The 23,261-nt window shown below is 43.5% G+C and overlaps 1 protein-coding gene across 3 annotated transcripts in view, besides 8 other annotated features; it reads right to left on the bottom strand.

Annotated features, from left to right (window-relative positions):
• Positions 1 to 7,535, bottom strand: part of ARHGAP10 (Rho GTPase activating protein 10) — a 340,689-nt gene extending 333,154 nt beyond the window's left edge. For all 3 annotated transcript variants that reach the window (XR_001741324.2, NM_024605.4, XM_005263215.4), the window contains exon 1: positions 7,168 to 7,535. Coding sequence is in view for 2 of the 3 variants with exons in the window: in NM_024605.4 (NP_078881.3) it covers positions 7,168 to 7,321 (154 nt within the window). In the remaining variant the exon portion in view is untranslated. The remainder of the gene's footprint in view (positions 1 to 7,167) is intronic.
• Positions 840 to 1,565: an enhancer, noted in NCBI's record as "NANOG-H3K27ac-H3K4me1 hESC enhancer chr4:148659209-148659934 (GRCh37/hg19 assembly coordinates)". NCBI's record gives its function as "activates a minimal SCP1, AML or CMV promoter by ChIP-STARR-seq in primed H9 embryonic stem cells {active_cell/tissue: H9 hESC(primed)}" and the evidence as "EXISTENCE:reporter gene assay evidence [ECO:0000049][PMID:30033119]".
• Positions 5,491 to 5,620: an enhancer, noted in NCBI's record as "active region_22005". NCBI's record gives its function as "activates an Ori minimal core promoter by ATAC-STARR-seq in GM12878 lymphoblastoid cells {active_cell/tissue: GM12878}" and the evidence as "EXISTENCE:reporter gene assay evidence [ECO:0000049][PMID:35858748]".
• Positions 6,139 to 7,031: an enhancer, noted in NCBI's record as "H3K27ac hESC enhancer chr4:148653743-148654635 (GRCh37/hg19 assembly coordinates)". NCBI's record gives its function as "activates a minimal SCP1, AML or CMV promoter by ChIP-STARR-seq in naive H9 embryonic stem cells {active_cell/tissue: H9 hESC(naive)}" and the evidence as "EXISTENCE:reporter gene assay evidence [ECO:0000049][PMID:30033119]".
• Positions 6,749 to 6,818: an enhancer, noted in NCBI's record as "active region_22004". NCBI's record gives its function as "activates an Ori minimal core promoter by ATAC-STARR-seq in GM12878 lymphoblastoid cells {active_cell/tissue: GM12878}" and the evidence as "EXISTENCE:reporter gene assay evidence [ECO:0000049][PMID:35858748]".
• Positions 6,929 to 7,008: a silencer, noted in NCBI's record as "silent region_15742". NCBI's record gives its function as "represses an Ori minimal core promoter by ATAC-STARR-seq in GM12878 lymphoblastoid cells {active_cell/tissue: GM12878}" and the evidence as "EXISTENCE:reporter gene assay evidence [ECO:0000049][PMID:35858748]".
• Positions 7,032 to 7,924: an enhancer, noted in NCBI's record as "H3K27ac hESC enhancer chr4:148652850-148653742 (GRCh37/hg19 assembly coordinates)". NCBI's record gives its function as "activates a minimal SCP1, AML or CMV promoter by ChIP-STARR-seq in naive H9 embryonic stem cells {active_cell/tissue: H9 hESC(naive)}" and the evidence as "EXISTENCE:reporter gene assay evidence [ECO:0000049][PMID:30033119]".
• Positions 7,319 to 7,838: a silencer, noted in NCBI's record as "silent region_15741". NCBI's record gives its function as "represses an Ori minimal core promoter by ATAC-STARR-seq in GM12878 lymphoblastoid cells {active_cell/tissue: GM12878}" and the evidence as "EXISTENCE:reporter gene assay evidence [ECO:0000049][PMID:35858748]".
• Positions 21,341 to 21,390: an enhancer, noted in NCBI's record as "active region_22003". NCBI's record gives its function as "activates an Ori minimal core promoter by ATAC-STARR-seq in GM12878 lymphoblastoid cells {active_cell/tissue: GM12878}" and the evidence as "EXISTENCE:reporter gene assay evidence [ECO:0000049][PMID:35858748]".

Raw genomic sequence — 23,261 nt, 5'->3', positions numbered from 1 at the left:
AGCTCTTAGGAAAATCCCTCTTAGGGATGTCTCTGGTCGTCTTCTTTTATTGTGAATTTACCATAGCAAATACAAGCTGTTAGGATTTCCAGCATGTCAGACGCTAGAAACCCTAATTTTGAGTTCACGTCCTCAAAAAGTATCTCTGTAATTTGAAGTATTTGAAGGCTGCAGTCACTTATATTGTCATGTCAATACCTTGAGATGAACTCTGTCATCAACTCTTCCTTATCAGTCACTTGGAGGAAAGGCCTGCTGCTGACTGCCTGAACCTCGACTATAGATTGCTTACTAGTTTTGCAATGACCTTAGCAACACATTCTACTTTATCTTCAAATCTTTGTGAATCAAAAATAAATTCTAGAAAATATTTTCCCAAGATACCACTGAGCTCTGATTTGCCAATGTATTTTCTTTTCTTTTTTTTTTTTTTTTTGAGACAGAGTCTCGCTCTGTTGCCCAGGCTGGAGTGCAATGGCGTGATCTCAGCTCACTGCAACCTCCGTCTCCTGGATTCAAGCAACTCTCCTGCCTCGGCCTCCCGAGAAGCTAGGATTACAGGCGCCTGCCACCAGACCCGGCTAATTTTTTTTTGTATTTTTAGTAGAGATGGGGTTTCACCATGTTCTCCAGACTAGTCTTGAGCTCCTAACCTCAAGTGATCCACCCGCCTCGGCCTCCCAAAGTGCTAGGATTACAGACGTGAGCCACTGAGCCCAGCCACCAATGTGTTTTCAAGATTTTCCAGCATCCCGAACTACAATCAAAATTTGGAAGCCTTTCCAGGGTTTGACAATTTTGTCTCTCTTCTTGGTCACTGGTAATGGTGCTTTGGAGAAATATACTGTTAGGGGTAATAAACACTAAAAGGTTAGATACCTGGTCTAGGGTGCAGAACAGCTATTTTGAGGCAAGAACAGGGCCTTGATAATAAAATATATGCCTGTAATTTAGTTATGTCATCATAATTGTTAACCTTTGAGCACTTATACTAAATGCTTTACATGTATTAACAAATCCTACTTTTAATCCAATATAGTAGGTCGTATTATAATTTTTTTTGGGGGGGGGAGACAGAGTCTCACTCAGTTGCCCAGGCTGGAGTGCAGTGACGCGATCTCTGCTCGCTGAAAGCTCCACCTCCTGGGTCCACGCCATTCTCCTGCCTCAGCCTCCCGAGTAGCTGGGACTACAGGTGCCCTCCACTACGCCCGGCTAATTTATTTTTTATTTTTAGTAGAGATGGGGTTTCACCGTGTTAGCCAGGATGGTCTCGATCTCCTGACCTCGTGATCCGCCCGCCTCGGCCTCCCAAAGTGCTGGGATTATAGCCGTGAGCCACCGCGCCCAGCCCTACAATTTCTATTTTACTGACGAGAACACAGATATAGAAAAGCTAAGCAGCTTGAGCAAGGATCCCCTGTTAGCAGGTGGTTGAGCTTGGGTATGAACCCAGCCAGGCTAGTACCTCAGCTTATGCTCTTAATCTTCTATATTATATTCCATCAGCTATTTTAAAGATTAAACACAAAAATACCCTCCTCTCTGTATTCTTTATCCAAAAGTCTACAATGTACCCTAGTCCCCTCAAAAAAAAAAAAAACAACAACAACACAGCGACAAGGAGCTGGTCAAAGGAACCCCAGCAGATGGGAGGACAGAGAAAGGCAATGTGACAAAAAGACACTGAGAACATTAGATTGCTGACTGGCTAGTAAAAAATCTGTTCTAAATAACCATGGCTCAGCTGGTGGCCTGGTGGGAAGCTCTAAATAGGAACAACTCTAAATGGAGTCAAAGACCACCTGCAGTGAGTAAAGCATTTCAAGCTTTTCAAGCCTGTCTGGGTCCCCACCCTGGCTCAAGTCTGATTGTAATTATTTTCACAGCCGGTCTACATTCACACTGGAGACCAGCCACTGTAATAAAGCCCCAAGTGACAGTTGGACTTATCCCAGGTGATGCCCCAAATTGTAGGGGCTCTATGGTAACTTCTTCAAGGCAAAGAGTGTAGATGAGTATTCCTTTCCATTCGGGAAAAAATTACCCTGCAATTTATTAACTTTTTAAAATAGCATTTTATTTTCTGTATCTCTCTAAATTCCACTTGATGGGAGCATAATCACAAAATTTACAATTACACCACTTTATCAAAATTAGGCCATTAAGGCCAGGCGCAGTGGCTGACACCTGTAATCCCAGCACTTTGGGAGGCCGAGGTGGACGGATCACATGAGGCCAGGAGTTCAAGACCAACCACAGTGAAACCCTGTCTTTACAAAAAAAAAAAAAAAAAGTACAAAAATTAGCTGGGCATGGTGGCGCGTGCCCGTAATCCCAGCTACTTGGGAGGCTAAGGCACAAGAATCACTTGAACCCGGGAGACGGAGGTTGCCCTGAGCCAAGATTGCACCACTGCATTCTAGCCTAGGCAACAGGGCGAGACTCACATCTCAAATAAAATTTTAAAAATCTAAAAATAATAATAAATAAAAAACCTAGGGCATTAAGTAGCAGAAAACCCAACTCAAAACTGTCTTATGTCATTTAACAAGACATTCAAAGCATAGAAAATCCCACAGGTCTCCCAACAGCATCAAGAACCCAGATTCAGTTAGCGCGCTATGCCACTTACCCTCAGGCCCAAGATAGTGGGTAGCAGTCCCAGGCATCATGAGAGAATACAGAAAAGTAGAAAACCATCCTTCTTCGCGTCTCCTATGACAAAAGGAAGCCTCCCCCTGCAGTACCCAGACTTCCTGTCACGTCTCCTTGGTCAGAACTGGGATACAACCTCATTCTTCTAATAATTACCAACCCAGAAAATGGGTTTATCATAACGGACTTATAGTTTCTTAACCCTGACTGCTTTAACAGTTCCCCCAGGTGATTTTATTGAGCAGCTACGATTGAGAACCACTGAGTTAGATTAATCAGAATTACCCTGAAATGCCTTCCCCTGAGTCATCTGAAAAGGATGCAGACACTTGAATGAAATCTGGATTGTCAGAGGGGAAAAGGAATGTTGGCTGAACCAGCAGTAGTGTCTACACAACCATTTTACATTTGTGTTTCAAAACACTTTCACACCATTTTATTTATTCCTCAAGGCTTTCTGTATCAGTCCCATTTTACAAAAAAAAAGGAAACCAAGGCTCAAGTTTACAAAATAGGAAAATTATTTTTAGTCTTCCAAATCTCAGTGGGTTTAATGTAATGGCAACTTAAGAAATTTCCCCAAAAGAATATTTCTCTGAAACAGTAAACATAAAGACAGCCAAAGAGAACTTTTATGTTTTTCCTAAGAGGAACAAAGCAAAAACCATTAAAATGCCAAGGCTAGAAGTACCAAAACCAAGTCGGAAGACCTAAATTCTTGTCCAGGCTCTGCCACTAACAAGGCCCTTTACATCCTTTTCCATGCATGTTTAGTAACAGCAGACTCATTAATGAGGGCCCCTTTAGCTTCACACACACACACACACACACACACACACACACAGCTAGACAATTTAAGTTCACTACAGAGCATTTTATATCACTGTATTAGTGCTTAATAACTGTAAGGACTGTTAGTTTTAAAAAATTTTCTCTAAAGAACAAGATACATTTTCTCAAGACTGCCTAACGTAAAATTTATGAGAAAAGCATATATGGTTTATTGCTGTTTCTGGCAACTGTGCTATCTACCTGTATGAATCATAAGCAACTGAAACTACATAGACATCACGAAGGCTTACAAAAGTTTAAACTGCATTTAAAGAAGACACTGGTTATTTTAAGAAAAGAAAGTACTTTAAAAAGAAAACTAAAAAAGCCATTTGAACAAAGAATTCATTGAATTGAGTGAATAATCTCCAAATCCACCACTAAAATGACTGGCTCTTCTCTCTGGAGTTCCTCCCCACCCCTAGCGCTATCCCCAACTTCACCCTACACACAAATGTGCGATACTGTCTCTAAACCATCTCTTTGCTATTATGTCAGCCTTCTGCTGAAAAGCCTTCAGTAACTCTCCACAAGATAAAGTCCACATTCCTAACCTTGTTTTTATGGCCCTCCATAATCTAAAACTGACCTCTCCATCCATCCCAGTCTACTACTCCCTGAAAAACCACCATTCCAGCCAAACTAGTCTCTTCAAACACTCGAGTGTTCTGGTTTCTTCTGGTTTCCAATATGATAAGGTTCTACTCCTTATCACCAGTGAGTTCCAAAACTTTCACAAACCTCCTCCACTCTAACATACAAACCCTTGTCCCTGGAAAAGTTAGAATACTTGTCACTAAATGTTTAACCTTGTCACAGGTATGTGTCTATATCCTTTGTTTCTTCAAGAATTTAGCACAGTGCAGGAAGGAGTTCAAAAATGTTCCTTAGATTGAAGTAATTTCAACTACAGGACAGTAAACTCAAGGGCAAGGGCCTCTACCCCATTATAAATCCGTATCTAATTCCAGTATTTAGCAAATTATAGGTGCTAAATATTTGCAGATTGCTACCTAATTGAATTCAGCAGTAAGCCTTCAGGTCGCATAGGCCTCAAAACTCTAAATATTTATGGAAGACTTCAAAGCATCAAGCCATCAAAATTACATATTGAAATCTTCCAAGAATGTAATGCAAACAGGAGACACCGTGCAGGGCAATTAAAAATAGAAATCACTTAAATACACACTTCTCGAAATGCTCAAAAGGTCATTTTTGTAAAATAAAATATAAAATATCTGGAAATATAAATAATCTGACCTAGTGGGTTTTATTCTTTCTGTAGATCCTCCACCCAATGTCATCCCTTGACTCTCTGATGTTATACAAAAGCTCAACTGGTTAGATGAACCATTTACCTAGACTGCAGTTTCAAATAACCTCATCAAGCCATTTTCAAATGCTGCAGAACCTTATTAGTTCCCCTAAGAGGTAGACAGGGGAAGTTGGACGCAAAAGAATAAGACCTGCTCAATTTTCCTATAGCCACGCCCTAACCAGTGAAGAAGAATTAAATTCAGGTCCCCTGACTTTAGTCCAAGGCTCTTAGTCTTTGATAGGAACTAGAAGTAAACTTTATGGAGCAAGCGGGAAAAGGCATGTGAGCTACAGCTGTGTTCCTGTCACCTTCTGGGAAAGAATTTAAACATAAATTCTTAATGAACATAACGAGAAAAAAAGACACTTCCCAATTACTCTCAAAGCATGATTACAAGTTATGTTTCTTATGCTAAAGGACGAGAATCAAAATGAGTAAGATACTAATTCACAAATTCAAGAAAGTCTACAGTCTGGAGGAAAGCTGACATCTGGCCCCCCAGATGCACTGGCTGCTGCTGGAACCTAACGCATGTGTCCTGATGGCAGGAAAGCTAATATGCTGTCACAGAAATAGCTTTCTACCAGTGGCCAAACTGGCTTTGCCCTCTGCCTCTCTCCACACCTCTCTAGCTCCAGAGGGAACTACTACAACCAATGAGAGAGAAGGTACATTCTCCCGGCCACTGACTCTGGTTAACATCAAGTTACAGAAAGAGTCCTCAGTCCTCATTCTCTCGTGTTCACTCTGCACCCCCGCTCCCAACTCCTCCTTTCTATGCTCACTCCTCCATATGTATAGGCGCCCCCCTACTTCCCACCCAACACACATACCAGATGCCAAGGGCCTGGAGAGCCCTCAACCAAATAAGCCCACTTGTCACATGTCCCAGAGTCCCATTTCTGATTCAAGCAGCAGAGACTTAAAAACAAAACAAAAAAACCCTAAGTGAGTCCCAGTCCTGATTTTGCAACACCAAAGAGGTCAGAGAACCAAAAGGAACCTTGGAGATCATCCAGAGAAGTTGAGTGACTTGCCTCCAAAATTACAGGGATGGCTCACTAAATTCTTCCCACAGAAATGTACTTCAACTTATTCATTAAATGCATATTTACTGTACCAGGCACCATGCTGGGTGCCCGAGACAGTATAATCAATATGTTTTAATCGCCCTTACTGAAAAATGGGGCGGGGCGCGGTCGGGAGAACAGTGAGATGGGGGATTTTCCCCAGAGGTGGTATCTACAAACAAATGTACAAGGGACGAATACCTAAGGCTGAGAATTACTGAACTGAGAATCTAGGTGAGTGATGAAGGCCCTAAGAACCCAGCCCCTCAAGGCTGGATACTGCCCAAGTCCCTGTCTGCTGTATGGACAGGTCTTTTAAAGGGGGAAAGGGGACATTCACCGCCATCCTCCGAAGGGGTTATGGATCCAAGGGATGGTCAGGCTGCCCAGCTCCTCACTGGGGCTAATTCCGCCCCATTTTCCAGTAGCATCACTAACTCAGTATTTCTGCATGAATTTTGGCCCCTTCTCTCCTAGAAAGACTCTCCTCAACTACACTAAAATACAGTTATCTCTCCTGTATCTCGTGTCTTCTTCCGAGTTTAAGAGACAGAAGTTCAGGGGAGGAAGGCACCAAGCCTAACCGGGGTGGAATTCCCTATTTGCAAGCAGTGCCCGCCTAGGCTAGAGGGCAGGCTGTCCGCTCACCCTTCCAAACCCCAATCTTTGAACCCTCCTCAGCACGGCAGGGGAGGAATGTGCGGAAGCAGCATAAAGCCAGGTGGACTTTCTGGTTTGGCACGTGAAGGACCTGGAACAGGACTGTCGGGGAAGATCAGACAATGAGAGGGAAAAGGTGAAGCTTAAGGGGACTCTGGAAAACTCAACACTCCCGCAGGGTTTCAAAGAATCCCCAAGAAATTTCTTTTGAGAAGTCACAAAACAAAACTAGGCAAACAGATGCCTCGGTTTTGTAAGAGATTGTGAGTAGCTTTAGGCAGCAATGAAACCTGACTCCGGGCCAGGAGTGCCTAGGGTCGGTCCAGCGGAGCGCGCATTCAGCGAGGGGTGTTCGGCCGGGGCCAGGCGGGGCCCAGGCGGGGCCCGCTGGCAGCTGGTTCCCGCCGCCGCAGAGCCGCAGGGGCGGGAATGGGGACTCGCCGCGCTGCCTCGAGGAGGAATGATTCCAGGGACCCCCCGGGGTTCCGAGAGAGCTGGGCTGGTCCGGAATGAATTCCCCGTTCCTCTGGCTGCTGGCCCCGGACACAAGACCCTCCGTCTCCTGCCGAGAGAGGCTCCCCCAGCCGCCTCGCCACGCCGCAGCCCGTCCGCGCCCGCGTCCCCGCTTACTTTTCGTCGCAGCGATGAGGTTCTTCCCGTCCTTAATGAGCTCTTTGATGAACTTGTTGGTCCTCTCGAGTTCCGCTTCGTGAGCGCGGATCCTCTCCCGGAACCACGGGCTGTCGAGGTAGCAGTCGCTGAACTCCAGGGGCTGCAGCCCCATGACGGCAGCGGTCGCTGCGCGGTGCGCACGGCCGCGCGCTCCTGCCCGAGCCGAGCTCCGAGGCCGCTGCCAGGTGCGGCGCCGCGCGTTCAGGGAGCACAGAGGAGCTAGCAGGCCCGGGCGCGCGGCGAGCGCGGCACGGACATGTCCCGTAGAGCCGAGTCCTGCGGCGCGGAGGAGCTGCCACCGAGACCAGCGCTAGCTGCGGCGCCCCAATCCCGGCAGCCCCCGCCGAGCTCTGAGCGCCCGCGGCCCCGCCCCGCCCGGCCCCCGCGCGGCAGACACTCCCCGAGGCGCCACCCGGCCGGGCCCGCGCTCCCGCTCGTCCCCTTCTCTTTCCTCCGCCTTCCTTCTTCCTCCCTTCCCTTCCCTGGACGCCTCTTCCTTCTCTTCCCCACGCGCAGCTGCCCCTCCTCTTCCTTCCGAGGCGTCCTGGGGCTAGAATTTCGCCCCGCGGCTCCCCTCCACCCTGGGCGCTCTCCCCTCCCCTTTGCTTGGGCTCCCGGGGCCGGGGTGACTCACAGTCGGCTCCCCGCTGCACGGAACCCGACCGGGACCGAGAAGGAGCGTCTTAATTGCAGTCGTTAGTCCCCGCAGGCGGGCGACATAACTCTGAAGTGGCTGCCTTGCAGGAGATGATTAACTCATTTATCTCATTTATCCTGGGACGCCCCCAACCCCGAGCTGGGAACGAACTCGCACAGGGGGCTCTTTTCCTTATCCCGGTTCCTTTCCCAGTTTAAAGTGAGATGCGTGGTAAATCTCCGCTTGAGATCGAAGCCTTACAATGGCAAGAGCGTTTTCTTGGTGGCCCAGCAGCTCCTATTACACTTCTCTGCGTATCCGCACTAAATAACTTAGTTGAAGAGAGAGGGCTGGCTAAACCACAGAAAAGTTGTTTCTGTTGTGTTCAGCACATTAAATTTGCTGGGGTAGGTGAAGACGATCTTTATTATTCTAAAAATAACTACCGGAAAACATGCCAGGTAACGTGTGGTTTTCACCGCGTGGGGGTGACGATCAATGAGAATTTATGTCAGTGCCCTCAAAAAGCCTATTTTGTGTGTTATGAAACAACTCCAGTGTGTCCCAAAAAAAGTTAGGCATTTTAAAGTATTAAAATGTATACCTTAGGCCGGACGTGGTGGCTCACGCCTGTAATCCCAACACTTTGGGAGACGGAGGCGGGTAGATCACCTGAGGTCAGGAGTTGGAGACCAGCTGGCTAACATGGTGAAACCCCGTCTCTACTTAAAATACAAAAAGTACCCGGGTGCGGTGGCACGTGCCTGTAGTCCCAGCTGAGGCAGGAGAATCGCTTGAACCCAGGAGGCGGAGGTTGCAGTGAGTCGTGATGGTGCCACTGCACTCCAGCCTGGGCGACAGAGCGAGACAATGTCTCAAAAAAAAAAAAAAGTATTTCTTAAAAAAAAACACTAATAGTTCATTAGAGTAACGTTTCATAATCGCAATTTATTAAGCAATTATTATGTGCCGGGCACCCACTAGGAACTCCATACATCTACAAACTCGCGATATAGACTTACATGATATGATGGTAATATTAACGAGAAACTTCAAAGTAATTCCTCAAGACGTTCAGACTCTCAGCTGGGTAATTAAGAATCTGTTTGGACAGCATGTTGTAGGAGGGTAACCCTCCCGAACAAGTTAAATAAGCCTCCTACTCAATAAGCCCTTTTGTTACAAAACAGCACCAGGAGTGCCTAACCCACAGATAAACATTATTACTCTAATGTCCATCCTCCAGAGAGTTCAAAGTGTTTTACAAATAACTTTTAGGCGGTGAAAGCTTCAGTTCCTACTAAAACCAGCAGGAGACTGGAGTCTACAGAAAAGAGAATAAAAGAGGCAAATAAAGGGGAAGAAAGACAAGAAGAGAGGGGGTGTAAACAAAAATGAGGGCCTAGCGAAACAGCCAAGCACTGACCACACTCAATCCTCAGAGCAGAAACCCAAACCTTTTCTCATAGAGGGGCTGCTGAGACTTCTTCAATATTGAACATGGAGGTTACCGTGTGACCCAGCAAGTCCACGCTTAGATATATACCCAAAAGAAATGAAAATATATGTCCACGCAAATATTTACACACAAATATTCATAGCAGCATTATTCGTAATAGCCAAAAAGTAGAATCAACCAAAATGTCCTTTGTCAGCTGTGTAATGGATGCACAAAATGTTTGTCCATAAAATGAAATATTAATCTACAATAAAAAGGAATGAAGTACTGACACGTGCTACGGCACAATAACGGTGAAAACGTTATACTAAGTAAAAGAACCTAGCTGCAAAAGGCCAATACTATCTACTTATATTAAATGTCCAAAACAGGTAAATCTATAGAGGCAGAAAGATTAGTGGTTGCTAGAGACTGGGGGATAGAGTGGAGGGTATATGTAGTCAGGAGTTTATTTTCAGGGTGATGAAAATTATTAATATTTTTATTTTTCATAGAGATAGGGTCTCACTATGTTGCCCAGGCTTTTCTCAAACTCCTTAGTTCAAATGATGCTCCCACCTTGGTCTCCCAAATTGCTGGAGTTATGGGAGTGAGCCGCCGAGCCTGGCCGAAAACAATTTAAATTTACATTTTGGTAATGGTTGCACAATTCTGAATATACTCAAAATCACTTAATTGTATGTGATAAATGGGTGGATTTCTTTTGGTCTGTGAAATATATCTCAATAAAAAATTTTTTTTAAGATGAACTACTCTAGAACTGCTTCTCCTTTACCACATTAGACTTCAAGCCGTAAAAACTCTGGTTTATTCAGTGTGCCCAGTTCTTTAGATATTTGGAGAAAAAAAAAAGTTGTTTAAAACAATGTCAAAACATCATAAAAAATATTACTTATCACTTCACACACATGTACACCCAGTGTTAAAGAGCTAGTGAATATGAATCTTAATTCATTACCAAATAGGTCCACAATAATTACCATGAGTGGAGGGGCCTGATTAATTTTGTTTTATTCAGCTATGCCTATGCAGTGTCTGGTATACAAGTGATCAGTAAATGTGGAATGAATAAGTATAACTAACTGAAGAGAAATCTCTGTACAGTGGACAGTGGAAAGATAGATATTTAGTAGTTCCAGCTCCAGCTTTACTACTTAACAGTTGTGCAACCTTAGCAAAGGTAATTTTCTGTAAACCTCAGACTTACCATCAGTGAAATGGAGATGATGACATTGCAGCTGCAGGTTGCTTGAGAAGATTTAATGAAATTGTGTTTGTAAAGTGCCTGCTGAAAATTATGATAATAATGAGACTCAAGGAAGAAGGAAGTGTGGAGGATGGGCTGAAGAGAGGGATGAGGGAGAGGAGGAGACAGATTACATTCCATCAATGTGGGAAAGATTTTCGGGGCAGGAGAGCCCTTAAATCATGGTTTTAAACCATGTAAGACAGAACTCAAGAAAAGTGGCCACAAAAGCAGATGCTACTGAGTTTCCAGGTTTCATCTTAATTAATCAATTATTCCCACAAATATTTACTGATCATTTATATGTATTAGGCACCGTATTAGGTGCTCATGATGCAGCAGCACACAAAACAGTCCTCACCGTGCTTTTGGTCTCTGGGGGAGACTGGCCTCATCCCAAAAAAAAAGAAAAAGAAAAATCACACACATATATATCCAATTGAAAATTGAAGCACCATGCAGTTAAAGTGAAGGGTGTGTGAGAGATTATAATTGGAACACCTGATGGAGATTGGGGCTGGGTCAAGGAAGGCCTCATTGAGGAAGTGATATGAAAATGATAATTTAATCAATGACCAGGAATATCAGTAGGAGTTAACTGTTAAATAGGGGTAGGAACAGAGTAGTACAGACATGGGACCAGCTTGTGCAGGCCCCTGAGATGGCACACTCAAGAGATGAACAGGTCGGTGGCTGAAGCCCAGTGAGAGAGACTGGCTCACAACTATGCCAGGTGGTGGAGGATAGGCAGGGTCAGATGGTGCAGAGCCTCTAAGTCTTATTTAGGATTTGGGACTGTATCCCAACACTGTTGGGAGCCTTTAAAGAGTTTTATGCATGTAGTAAAATGATCCGGATTGTGTTTTCTCTCTAGCTGCTGTGTGGAGAATGGAAATCCAGACAGAAGGTGGTTGGAGTTGTCTGGGCAAGAAATGGAATAGCTCAATCCTCCAAGGTGACCCTCCAAGGAAACAGCGAGAAATAGACAGAAATGAAGTATATTTTAGAAGGAGATTCTGGGACTTGACAATAGCCTGGATATTGGAAATGAGGAAGAAGGGGTCAGCGGTGGCCCCCAGGCTTGTGGCATGGTAAGTTAGGTGGATGGATATGCCACTTACTGAAAGGATAACATGAGGTAAGAAGCTGTCATGGCAGTGTTGGTGATGACTGGGTTGGAAGGATGCGTTTCAGTATAAACTCATGAAATGTTTGAGATGCCTGGGAGACATTCAAGTACTTAAGTCATGTAGGCACTGACACCCAAATGGCATTTTTATGCTTTACTCAGTGCTTGGATTAGTTAGGGATTTGAATCAATGCAAGCTGGTCAAGTTTCAGTCTACATGAAATAGAGGTTAACAGATAGGAAACCTTCCCTTGATGTAGGTTCTGCTGCATACCATACTGTAGTTTTTGTGTTGTGATGACTCACAAAGTACCTACCTGTAAAGTTAAATATGGGTCTACTGAATCCTTGGATATGTTTCAGGTTGTGAGTCAGAATTAGGTTCAGACACATTATAACAGAAAATCCAAAATCACTGGTTTTTAAACCATAAGGGGTTTAGATTTCCCTCTCTCTCATAAAAAGGAGTCCATGATTCCAGAGTCCCCAAGGAAGCACTGGCTTCCATCCTCAATGTCACCTCATGGTACAAGATGGCTCCTAGAGGTCCTTCTGGGAGGAAAGAAGGGAAAGGATAGAAGGGCCCCTGTCCTCACTGAATCAGCTTCTTTTCTCAGCATTCCTGTGCATCTCACACAACATTTTATTTTTTATCTCATTGACCAGATCTTAATCAAATGGCCACACCTCACTGCAAGGGAAGATGAAAAATGTGGTCTTTTTCCCGGGTACATAAGTGAAATGTGAATTTTCCTACAAAGAGAAAAGGGATAGTAGATTTTGAGCAGGAACCTAGCAGTCTCTGCTGCAGGCTGACACCTTTGTGAGTGAGGTATATAAATTACAGCTATGCCAAAAACTAAATTATGTAAATAGAAGAAATTTAAAATAATTATTTGGGTCTCTTGCAGACTGTGTAAAGCTGCTTTCTCTCACAAGTATTAAAAACAAAACACAAAAAGAAACAAAAATGCCAAAATAGCTTAATTATTGAAACACATCACTGAAAACCTCCACAGCGAGGTAGTTGAAGCTTCTGAAGCAGTTATCAGCACTCCAGCTCCATTTCTCTATGATTCTCTTGGCTCTGCTTGCCTTCTAGGAATTGACTTCAGCCTCCAGAAAGCTTCCTTCATGAGAACCAAATAGCATCAACATTTCCAGACTCACCTACAGGTGAGACAATACCCCTTCCTGAGCTAGAAAGTTGCTCCCTTATCACAACTACTTTAATCTGGGAATCAAAGCATTTCAGGAGACTGCCATTCCCTGAGTCCCTTGGACCTGGAGGCCTGCCGCTCAATTGATCACTGAGCCCAAGAAGGGGGTAATGCCAAGTAGCTTGGGCCATTAAGGGGTCACCTTTGAGCATGGGGCAGGCTGATCCAACAAGATATGAGGATACTACACAACGAGTTTGTGAACTGGTAACCTATAAAAGTATAATGGTGATGCTTGTACAACAATGTGAATATACTTAATGCCACTGAACTGCACGCTTAGAAAGAAAGCATAATGAAGGAAGAGTAAAGGACTCCTTCATCTCCCCCTTTATGTCACTCGTCTTCCTATAATAACCTTTTCTTTTTTTTTTTTTTTTTTTTTTGAGATGGAGTCTCTGTCTGTCACCCAGGCTAGAGTGCCGTGGCGCTATCTTGGCTCACTGCAACCCTCGCCTCCCTTCCGGGGTCAAGTGATTTTTCCGCCTCAGCCTACCAAGTAGCTGGGATTACAGGCATGCGCCATCATGCTCGGCTAATTTTTGTATTTTTAGTAGAGACGGGGTTTCACTATGTTGGCCAGGCTGGTCTTGAACTCCTGACCTCAGGTGATCCACCCGCCTCTACCTCCCAAAGTGCTGGGATTACAGGCGTGAGTCACTGCACCCAGCCATACCCTTTCCTTAAAGACATATGGTCTCACAGAATAATAATAATGGTCCAAATATGTTTGACATTTTAATTACACCTATATTTTTAAAAGAACCTTTTTCTTCATACCACCTCTATTGAGAGTTTGTGACTAGCAGTCTGAGTAATGAAATTTGAGAAAGGCTATGCTATGAACACTAAGCTGGGTATGCTCTGCTGAGAGTCACCCCAGGATCTCTGTATATTCCAGGATTGCAGTGGGTGCACCAGTGCAGTGTGGTGTGCAGAAACTACTACTTGTGCTGGGCGTGGTGGCTCTTGCCTATAATCCCAGCACTTTGGGAGGCTGAGGCGGGTGGATCACGAGGTCAGGAGTTCAAGACCAGCCTGGCCAATATGGTGAAACCCCGTCTCTACTAAAAATGCAGAAATTAGCTGAGTGTGGTGGCATGCGCCTGTAGTCCCAGCTGCTTGGGAGGCTGAGGCAGGAGAATTGCTTGAACCTGGGAGGCAGAGGTTGCAGTGAGCCGAGATCGTGGCCACTATACTCCAGACTGGGTGACAGAGCAAGACTCCATCTCCAAAAAAAAAAAACAGACATGAAGAAAAAAAAAAAAGAAACTACTACTTGTGCCTCCAGCATTTACTAAGCACCCATTATGTGCCAGGTACTATCCTAGAACTGGGACAGCAATAGCAAAAACAAACAAACAAACAAAAACCTAGCATGATTCATGATCTCATGGACTAATATCCTCCAATCAGAGTGAAAGAAAATATATCAAAACATTGCAAATATAAATGTCAAGTGAAATCTCTGGTAAGCACTAGGAAGAAGCCTGCTCTTCAGGGGACTTTGGACTATTCTGAGATGTCAGTGAGGATGTGACAACTGAGCTGAGACCTGAAGCACCAAGAGTGAATGGACAGAGGTGAAGTGGATGTGATGTGCAGAGGGAAGAAGCGTTCCCAGAGGAGGATTTGTGGAAGAACCAGTACAAGTAGCTGAAACTGTGGCCATGTGGCGGGAGCAGCACGGGCTGAGATGAGGCTGAAGAGGGAGTGAGGGCCCATCCTACCTGCTCAGCACCAGCCCTGCTTCTATCCTTGAGAACACTGAGCGTGGGCTTCGGGCTTCGCTGCTTTTTTTCTCAGGAGAGCTCACCTTTTCCAGTACTTCTGGGCATCAAAGCTTGGAAGAGTTTAGGACCTCAAGGAAGTTTTAGAACTAGTACAATTAACTAGGGATATTTGGTCAGCAAATATTGATTGAGTACACGGGGTGGGGAAAGCACTGTGGTAAGCAAGTGCTAAGGCGAAAAAGTCCCTCAACTCAAGCGTTTACAATCTGATATACTCTAGCCATGCAGAATAAGCTGACAAGAGGATAATTCTAAAACAAAGCACACTGCTGCTTCCTCCAGCCAGCCTGACAGCCTGGTTGAGAAGTGGGCGTTCCTACTGAAACTGGGATGGGGAAGAGGGAGGGTGGGTATGTGGGGGAGATTCTCCAGTCCTCCCACATTGAAATTCATATCTTCTCAGCTGGGTGCAGTGGCTCACGCCTGTAATCTCAACACTTCGCAAGGCTGAGGCGGGCAGATCACCTGAGCTCAGGAGTTCGAGACCAGCCTGACACACATGGAGAAACCCCATCTCTACTAAAAATACAAAATTAGCTGGGCGTGGTGGTGGGTGCCTGTAATCCCAGCTACTTGGGAGGCTGAGGCAAGAGAATCACTTGAACCCTGGAGGCGGAGGTTGCAGTGAGCCAAGATCGCACCATTGCACTCCAGCCTGGGTGACAGAGTAAGACTCCATCCCAAAAAATAAATAAATAAATAAATAAAAACTTAAAAAAGAAAAAGGCCAGGCATGGTGGCTCACACCTATAATCCCAGCACTTTGGGAGGCAGAGGTGGGAGGATCACGAGGTCAGCAGTTTGAGACCAGCCTGGCAAACATGGTGCAACCCCCTCTCTACTAAAAATACAAAAATTAGCTGGGTGTGGTGGTGGACGCCTGTATTCCCAGCTATTTGGGAAGCTGAGGTAGGAGAATCACTTGAACCCTGGAGGCAGAGGTTGCAGTGAGCCGAGATCGTGCCACTGCACTCCAGTCTGGGCAACAGAGCAAGACTCCATCTCAAAAAAAAAAAAAAAAAAAAAAAAGTATATGCTTAAGGCTATTTGTTGCAGTAAAGAAAAAAAGAATGCAGCAGCCACTTAACAATTAGAAAATAGTAAAATAAATCAGCATATATTAATTCAATAGGAATCCTGGGTTTATGTGCTTTGATGCCATTAAAATGATCGTTTTTACTCTAAATAATGGACACTGGCATTTCGGAATGCCCAGCATTCATTCCCACTTCCCAACTTTACCATGATTTCCACCGGGGTAATCATTTTCCCACATAACATGTAGTCTTTGTAAAATTCCTGTGCCTGCCTCATGCTAGGGAATCCAGAGAGATCCCTAGAGGTTTGTTCTATAAATCTTTCCTCTCAGACCTGCCACAGCCAAGGGCTGGGCACGTGACCTAAGCTTGGCCAACCAGACTTTCCCAAGACTTTGACTTTTGAACGTAGTAAAGCACTGACAGAAGAAACAGAGTTCATCTTTTCCAGCCAGGAGTGTTGAAATAGACCTGCTGCTGGGGAGGCTACCAGGCTTCTTCCAAAGCTGGTTCTTTAAGACTTCCTTAACACCTCCGTATGCTTCAAATCAAATACCCTTTTGCTTAAGTTGACAGAATCAGTGTTTCTTCCTTGCAACCAGAGATTAGTAGACTCCTAGATTGGTAGTAGAAGGAAACAGACCTTCAGGGAAGTCATGGGGTGTTTAGAATCGATTATCTGGCTGAGATTGAACAGAAAACAGAACACTCCCATTTATATTCTAAAAGGGGAATCTGGTGGTTCATGGCACACACTGGAGAAACAAGTCATTAAGTTATCATCTTAGATTATTTAGTTCTAAGTAGCATGACCTTAAATCCTCTTTTGTTTGGAACTGGTCTGCTTTATACCTATTGTCCTGGCATGCGCTTCGTTTGGCCTGTTTCCCCTGGATTTTGTGTGTTTGTTTGTTTGTTTGTTTGTTTGTTTGTTTTAAGAGACAAGGTCTCCCTCTGTTGCCCAGGCTGGAGTATCATGGCATAACCATAGTTCACTGCAGCCTTGAACTGCTGGGCCCAAGTGATCTTCCTGCCTCAGCCTCCCAAAGTGCTGAGATTACAGGCATGAGCCACCACACCTGGCCTGGATTTCTCATTTTTAAATGGGGTTCTACTACAAATAATGCATAGAAGCTTTTAAAAAGAGGTCGGGCATAGTGGCTCATGCCTGTAATCCCAGCACTTTGGGAGGCCAAGGTGGGCAGATTACTTGAGATCAGGAGTTCAACACCAGCCTGGCCAACATGGCAAAACCCCATCTCTATTAAAAATAGAAAAATAGCCAGGCATGGTGGTGGGTACTTGTAATCCCAACTACTTGGGAGGCTGAGGCAGGAGAATTGCTTGAATCCAGGAGGTGGAGGTTGCAGTGAGCTGAGATTGCACCACTGCACTCCAGCCTGGGTGACAGAGTGAGACTCTGTCTCAAAAAAAAATAAAAAGAAAAGAAAAAAGAGGCCAGGATGGGTTTGCTGGACCGTCATTCTGTTTTTAACTCCTACCATGGTCTCATCTAGTAGTGACATCTAGTAGTAGCGTGAGACACATGTGCAGTGAACAGAGTTCTCACTTTAACACGTGGATAATCTGACAGATGACCAAGGATAACCCATTTCACTCCTTTTTTTTTTTGAGATGGAGTTTCACTCTGTTGCCCAGGCTGGAGTGCAATGGCGTGATCTCAGCCTCCCAAGTTCAAGTGATTCTCCTGCCTCAGCCTCCCAAGTAGCTGGAATTACAGGCATGTGCCACCACTCCAGCTAATTTTGTATTTTTAGTAGAGATGGGGTTTCTCCATGTTGGTCAGGCTGGTCTCCAACTCCTGACCTCAGGTGATCCACCCACTTCAGCCTCCCAAAGTGCTGGGATTACAGGCGTGAGCCACCACACCCAGCCAACCCATCTTTCTTTTTCTGACGTTTCCAGAAGCAAGGTAACCAACACTTATTTTTAAGAATAGTAAGAAGGATACTTGCTGATAAAATGAAGCTCTCTGAGATACAATCGGGTAGAGACAGCTACCCCTTGCAGTATTATTGGCCAGAGGAGAAGCAGTTGATACTGCTAACCTTGCTGGCTATTTTGGTGTACCAACTAGTTTCAGAGTGGCCCGGGCAGTAACCTGCATGATGAACGAAGTTGCCAGGCCAGTCAGCAGGGTCAACAGGAAGCATAGAAAATTACAGGTTGAGTGTAAGATGTACAAGAAAATGGAGGCTGAGCAGAGCTGCCATAGAGCTCATAGAGAGTGGTAGAACCCTATTGCTATAGCTATTTGTCCTTTATTATATTATACAAATCTACAGCTATTAAAATCTTTATGGTTTGGTAATACTTTTTTTTTTTTGCAAAAACAAAAGCTTTTGGCAGAAATGTGTTAAAGGGAAGAGAGTATATTTAACGAAAAATGAAGTACTGATATCCCATTTCTCAAAAAAGCTGCTCATGAATTTTTAAAGAGTTTTTTGTGTTTTTGTGTTTTTTTTTTTTTAGACGGAGTCTTGCTCTGAAGCCCAGGCTGGAGTGCAGTGGCGCGATCTCGGCTCACTGCAAGCTCCACCTCCCAGGTTCATGCCATTCTCCCGCCTCAGCCTCCCGAGTAGCTGGGACTACAGGCACCCACCACCATGCCCAGCTAATTTTTTTGTATTTTTTTAGTAGAGGTGGGGTTTCACCGTGTTAGCCAGGATGGTCTCGATCTCCTGACCTTGTGATCTGCCCGCCTCAGCCTCCCAAAGTGCTGGGATTACAGGCATGAGCCACCGCACCCAACCTGTAAAGAGTTTTAACGTTTATCATCCACCATGGGGTTTCTTCTGTGACATGACTAATCACATGAAAACCAGAGGGTCCAAGGCTGCTGGAAAACATCTGCATCTACTTCAAAAAGTAGAAGTTATTAAGAAAGCTAGGCCCAAAGATGGCAATTTAACATGTTTAGCTACAACAGGATGTTTACATACCACTCTGTGAAACGTGACTTTTCACTTATGTCAAATGGCTGTTCTTCTAAATTAATTGTTTTATTTTATTTTCTTATTTCAGGATTTCTTGGGTAAAAATGAAACATTAATGTGTGATCTCCATTAATAGAAAATAAAACTTTGGGCCGGGCACTGTGGCTTATGCCTGTAATCCCAGCACTTTGGGAGGCTGAGGTGGGTGGATGACAAGGTCAGGAGTTCGAAACCAGCCTGGCCAAGATGATGAAACCCCGTCTCTACTAAAAATACAAAAATTAGTCATGTGTGGTGGCACATGCCTGTAATCCTAGCTACCCGGGAGGCTGAGGCAGGAGAATCGCTTGAACCTGGGAGGTGGAGGTTGCAGTGAGTCGAGATCGTGTCATTGCACTCCAGCCTGGGCAACAAGTGTGAAATTCTGTCTTAAAAAAAAAAAGAAAAGAGAACTTTCTAAGGAGTTATGAAGCCAGCTTTATATAATGCGGATGTGAATGAAGATATAGAGACTTCTGGTACTCACCCATATCCAGTTCTCTCTTCTAGGGCCCAAGGGAGGGATAGACTTTCTAGCCCCTGTTGTGTTACTCATTTTAACTGTGTTCTTCTGGCTCTAGTGGAAGGGAAATGCGTGATTTTTCAACCGAAGCATTTAATTTCTGGTGCAAGGCTCTCCGGTATGTTCTTGTCCTGCCTTTGTAACTATGAAATCCCCCAGTTCCTGATAGAAAATCTATGAAATGTTTGGACCCTGTATTAGCCTGGAACTCTGAAAGACTGTGTGAAGCAGAGACACTCACTGACTGGCACAGAATTTGTAACTTGAGTGAGAAATAGATTTCTGTAGTGTAAGCCAGAAGATTTTAGAATTGTTTGTTACCACAGAATAGCCTTTCCTATTCTGACTAATTCATTCGAATTCCAATATCTTAGGAAGAGGGAAGAGTACTACTGATGGGATTGAAGAACATGTAGCAAAAGAGTGGCAAAATTGAAGAAATATTTTTAACTTTTTCTTTGTTTCGTGGGTATAGAGTTTCTACTGGGATAATGAAAAAGTTCTGTAAATGGATAGTAGTGATGGTTGTACAACCTTATGAATGTACTTAATGCCACTGAATTATACACTTAAATATGGTTAAAGTGGTAAAATATGTATTATGTGTATTTACCACAATAAAAAATTACCAAAGAAGGGTTTTTCTACCAAAGTTTTCCATTATTGATAAGAGTTAGAAAGATAGGCACTCATATATTGTTGGTGAGACTATACATAGGTACATCTTTCTAGAGACAATTTTGATGGTGCTTATTAAAAGACTTTTGAAATGTTTTGCCCTTTGATTCATTTATTCCTCTTCTGAGAATTTAACCTAAATTTCTAAAAATAATTTACGAAGTTTTATGTAAAATGATCATAACTCCTACATGATTAAAAAAAACTAATGACAGGCTCACATCTGTAATCCTAACACTTTGGGAGGCTGAGGTGGGTGGATTGCTTGAGCCCAGGAGCTCAAGACCAGCCTGGGCAACATGGTGAAACCCTGCTTCTACAAAAAACAAGCTGAGTGTGGTGGTGCGCACCTGTAGTCCCAGCTACTCGGGAGGCTAAGGCAGGAAGATCACCTGAGCCTGGGAGGTGGAGGTTGCAGTGACCTGAGATGGCACCACTGCACTCCAGCCTGGGTGACAGAGAGAAACCCTGTCTCAAAAAAAAAAAAAAAAGAGAGAGAGAGAGAGAGACCATGTCTCCATATGTTGGTTGGGCTAGACTGCAGTGGCTATTCACAGGCTCAGTCATAGCCTCAATCTTAGCTCACTGTCACCACAAACTCCTGGGCACAAGCAGTCTTCCTGCCTCAGCTTCCCAAGTAGCTGGGACTATGGAACCTGCCACAGTGCTTGGCTTGCCAGCTTGATTTTTGTAAGCCAAAAATTTGAAACAGTTTAGACTTGACCAAGATGAATTGCTTAAGTAACTTAGAAAATATTAATATAATTGGGCACTATGTGGATCTTTGAAATTACAGTGTAGGAGAATACTTAATGACATAGGAGAAATGCTCCAATATAATGTTTAGTGAAAAAAGATACAAAGCCTAGGTCTTAAGTTGAGTAATGAGTTCTTAGGTGTTGAGTTTATTACGTTTTATTACTTAGATTTATGTAAGGTTAGTTTGACAGTATTGATTCTTAATGAATCTATGCTGACTTTCTGTTCATAAAATTACTTACTTTTTTTTTTTTTTTTGAGATGGATTCTTGCTCTGTCGCCCAGGCTGGAGTGCAGTTGCGCGATCTCGGCTCACTGCAACCTCCGCCTCCCGGGTTCAAGCGATTCTCTTGCCTCAGCCTCCCCAGTAGCTAGGATTATAGGCATGCACCACCACACCTGGCTAATTTTTGTATTTTTAGTAGAGACAGGGGTTTCACCATGTTGACCAGGCTGGCTGGTCTCGAACTCCTGACCTCATGATCTGCCTGCCTCGGCCTCCCAAAGTGCTGGGATTATAGGTGTGAGCCACCACACCCAACCCCCATAAAATTACTTTCTAAGACTTAACATTAGTTGCATGATTACAACCCAAGTTCTCTCAATATCTTAGGATATACTTTATCTGGGAATAAATTAAATACATTATTAAAATAACTAAGTGTTTTTAAAAGCTCCTCTTATTTCTTACCTGCCTTGGCTTTAGTTTCACTCTTGACCGTTCTTCTTTTAACCTTTCCATTTGAAGATAGTTACTGAGAGAACAGAAAAAAAGAGATGTTAGTTCTGCTTTCTCTGTTATCTTTTCAATATTACATCATCTTTCCCTGAACAGAGTCTTTTTGTTTTTGTTCTTCTGTAAGAGCATGACCTTGAAAAGACTCTTCTGGGGATTTTTGGTTATTTTTCACACCTCTAAACTCATCCTGGATTCTGCTTTTCCTGGTATTATTATTCAAGGGTCATGCTGCTGTCTAGTATCAGGTAAGTTTACACACCTGTCCATTGTCTCATATTTTGTGTTCAGTAGAGGAATGCTTCTACAATCACTCCTGGTTTTTTTAGATAACTCTCTTTTCTCCCTCCATATTGGGGTTATTTAAGACAACAGTATTTAACCTGAGTTATAGGAATCCCCAAATATATGTAAAGACTTTCCAAGGACAACTGGTATGGGTAATTTATTTCCAGATCCTCAACTTCTATTTCTCCTTTTTCCCAAAATTGATCTGCCTGAAAAAATGTCTTGCAGATTCTCCTTTTCCACCTCCCCTTTCACATTAACCTTTTTCCCAAGGAAGAGGAGAAGGTAGAAGAGAGCACTGCAAATTTATGTATCCTGTATCTTGGTCTCAAGATATAAAAATATCCATAGTACCAAAGGGATGATTTGAAATATTTTTTTCAACTGGAAGCCTTCTGTAGGAACTACCCCACCATCATGCTTTTTGTCTTTCCCTGCCTAATGCACATTTGTGTTAAGGACAAGTTATAGCCTTAGAAACTGCCCCTTTGCGAAGTTCTGAATATATATTATGGGGTGAGGTAGTAGGAGTAATGACAATTTCTCTTTATTGATTTACCTCTCCCATCCCTAAATATAATTAGAGAATGCATGGTTCTTAAGGAAGATATATGTGAAAGCAATTAAAGACAGTGTCTTTTAGAAATGCTGAACACTAAAAATGGCTCTCCTTTTTTCTAATTTGAACATAAGCATTTTTTCTTTACCCCCTTCAATCTTCTTTCCTAAAACGTGTTGTCAGCTGGAAAGAAAAGTACTTTGAACAGATTAGTCATGCTAATTATTTAAAATATAACTGAAATGTCTTCTAGTACTACTAAGATTTTTGAAACATACTGAAGAAAACCTGTGCAAAAAAATTTTACATGACTTATTTCAGATTAACTTTGCATTATTCAATAAGGAAGGTAAAACTGATTTATCAACTCATATCATGAAATAATTTATCCATTTACTGACAATCTTTCTGTGCCTCTGATTCTTCCTCTGCTAAATGGAACCTCTATACTAAACTATACCTCTTCACTGAGTTCTTTTAGACATTAAACGAGTCAACCTAGAATCTATGCAAAGCACATAGAACCTTACCTGGTGCATGGTAAGTGCTCTTCATGTTGAAATGCTCCTTCTTCTGAGTCTTGGTTCTCTTCTCTTTGTCTGTATCTCCCTTTGTAATCTCACTCAGTCTCCTGGCTTTACAAACCATCCATATGCTAATAATTTCCAAATTTATATTTCTAATGCCTGCCTGTTCACTCCAGAACTCCAGACTCATCTATTCAACAGCCTTCTGGACATCTCCATGTGGATACTTAATTGATATCTCAAACTTATTATCTCCAAACTGACCTCTTGTTCTTTTCTCTTTCCAAACCTGCTCCATCTTTAGCCTTTTCCCTGTCACTTGATGTCAACATCATCCTTCATTGTTCAAATCTAAAAAACTTGGAGTTAATCTGAACTCCTTTCTTTCTCTCATACCCCACGTGCAATCTGTCTTCCTGCAAAAATATATCCAGAATCTGACCACCATTCACTCCCACCACTGCT

Source organism: Homo sapiens, chromosome 4, assembly GCF_000001405.40.
Source record: "Homo sapiens chromosome 4, GRCh38.p14 Primary Assembly".
In the NCBI taxonomy this organism is placed as follows: Eukaryota; Metazoa; Chordata; class Mammalia; order Primates; family Hominidae; genus Homo; species Homo sapiens.
This window is presented reverse-complemented; position numbering and strand designations above follow the sequence as displayed.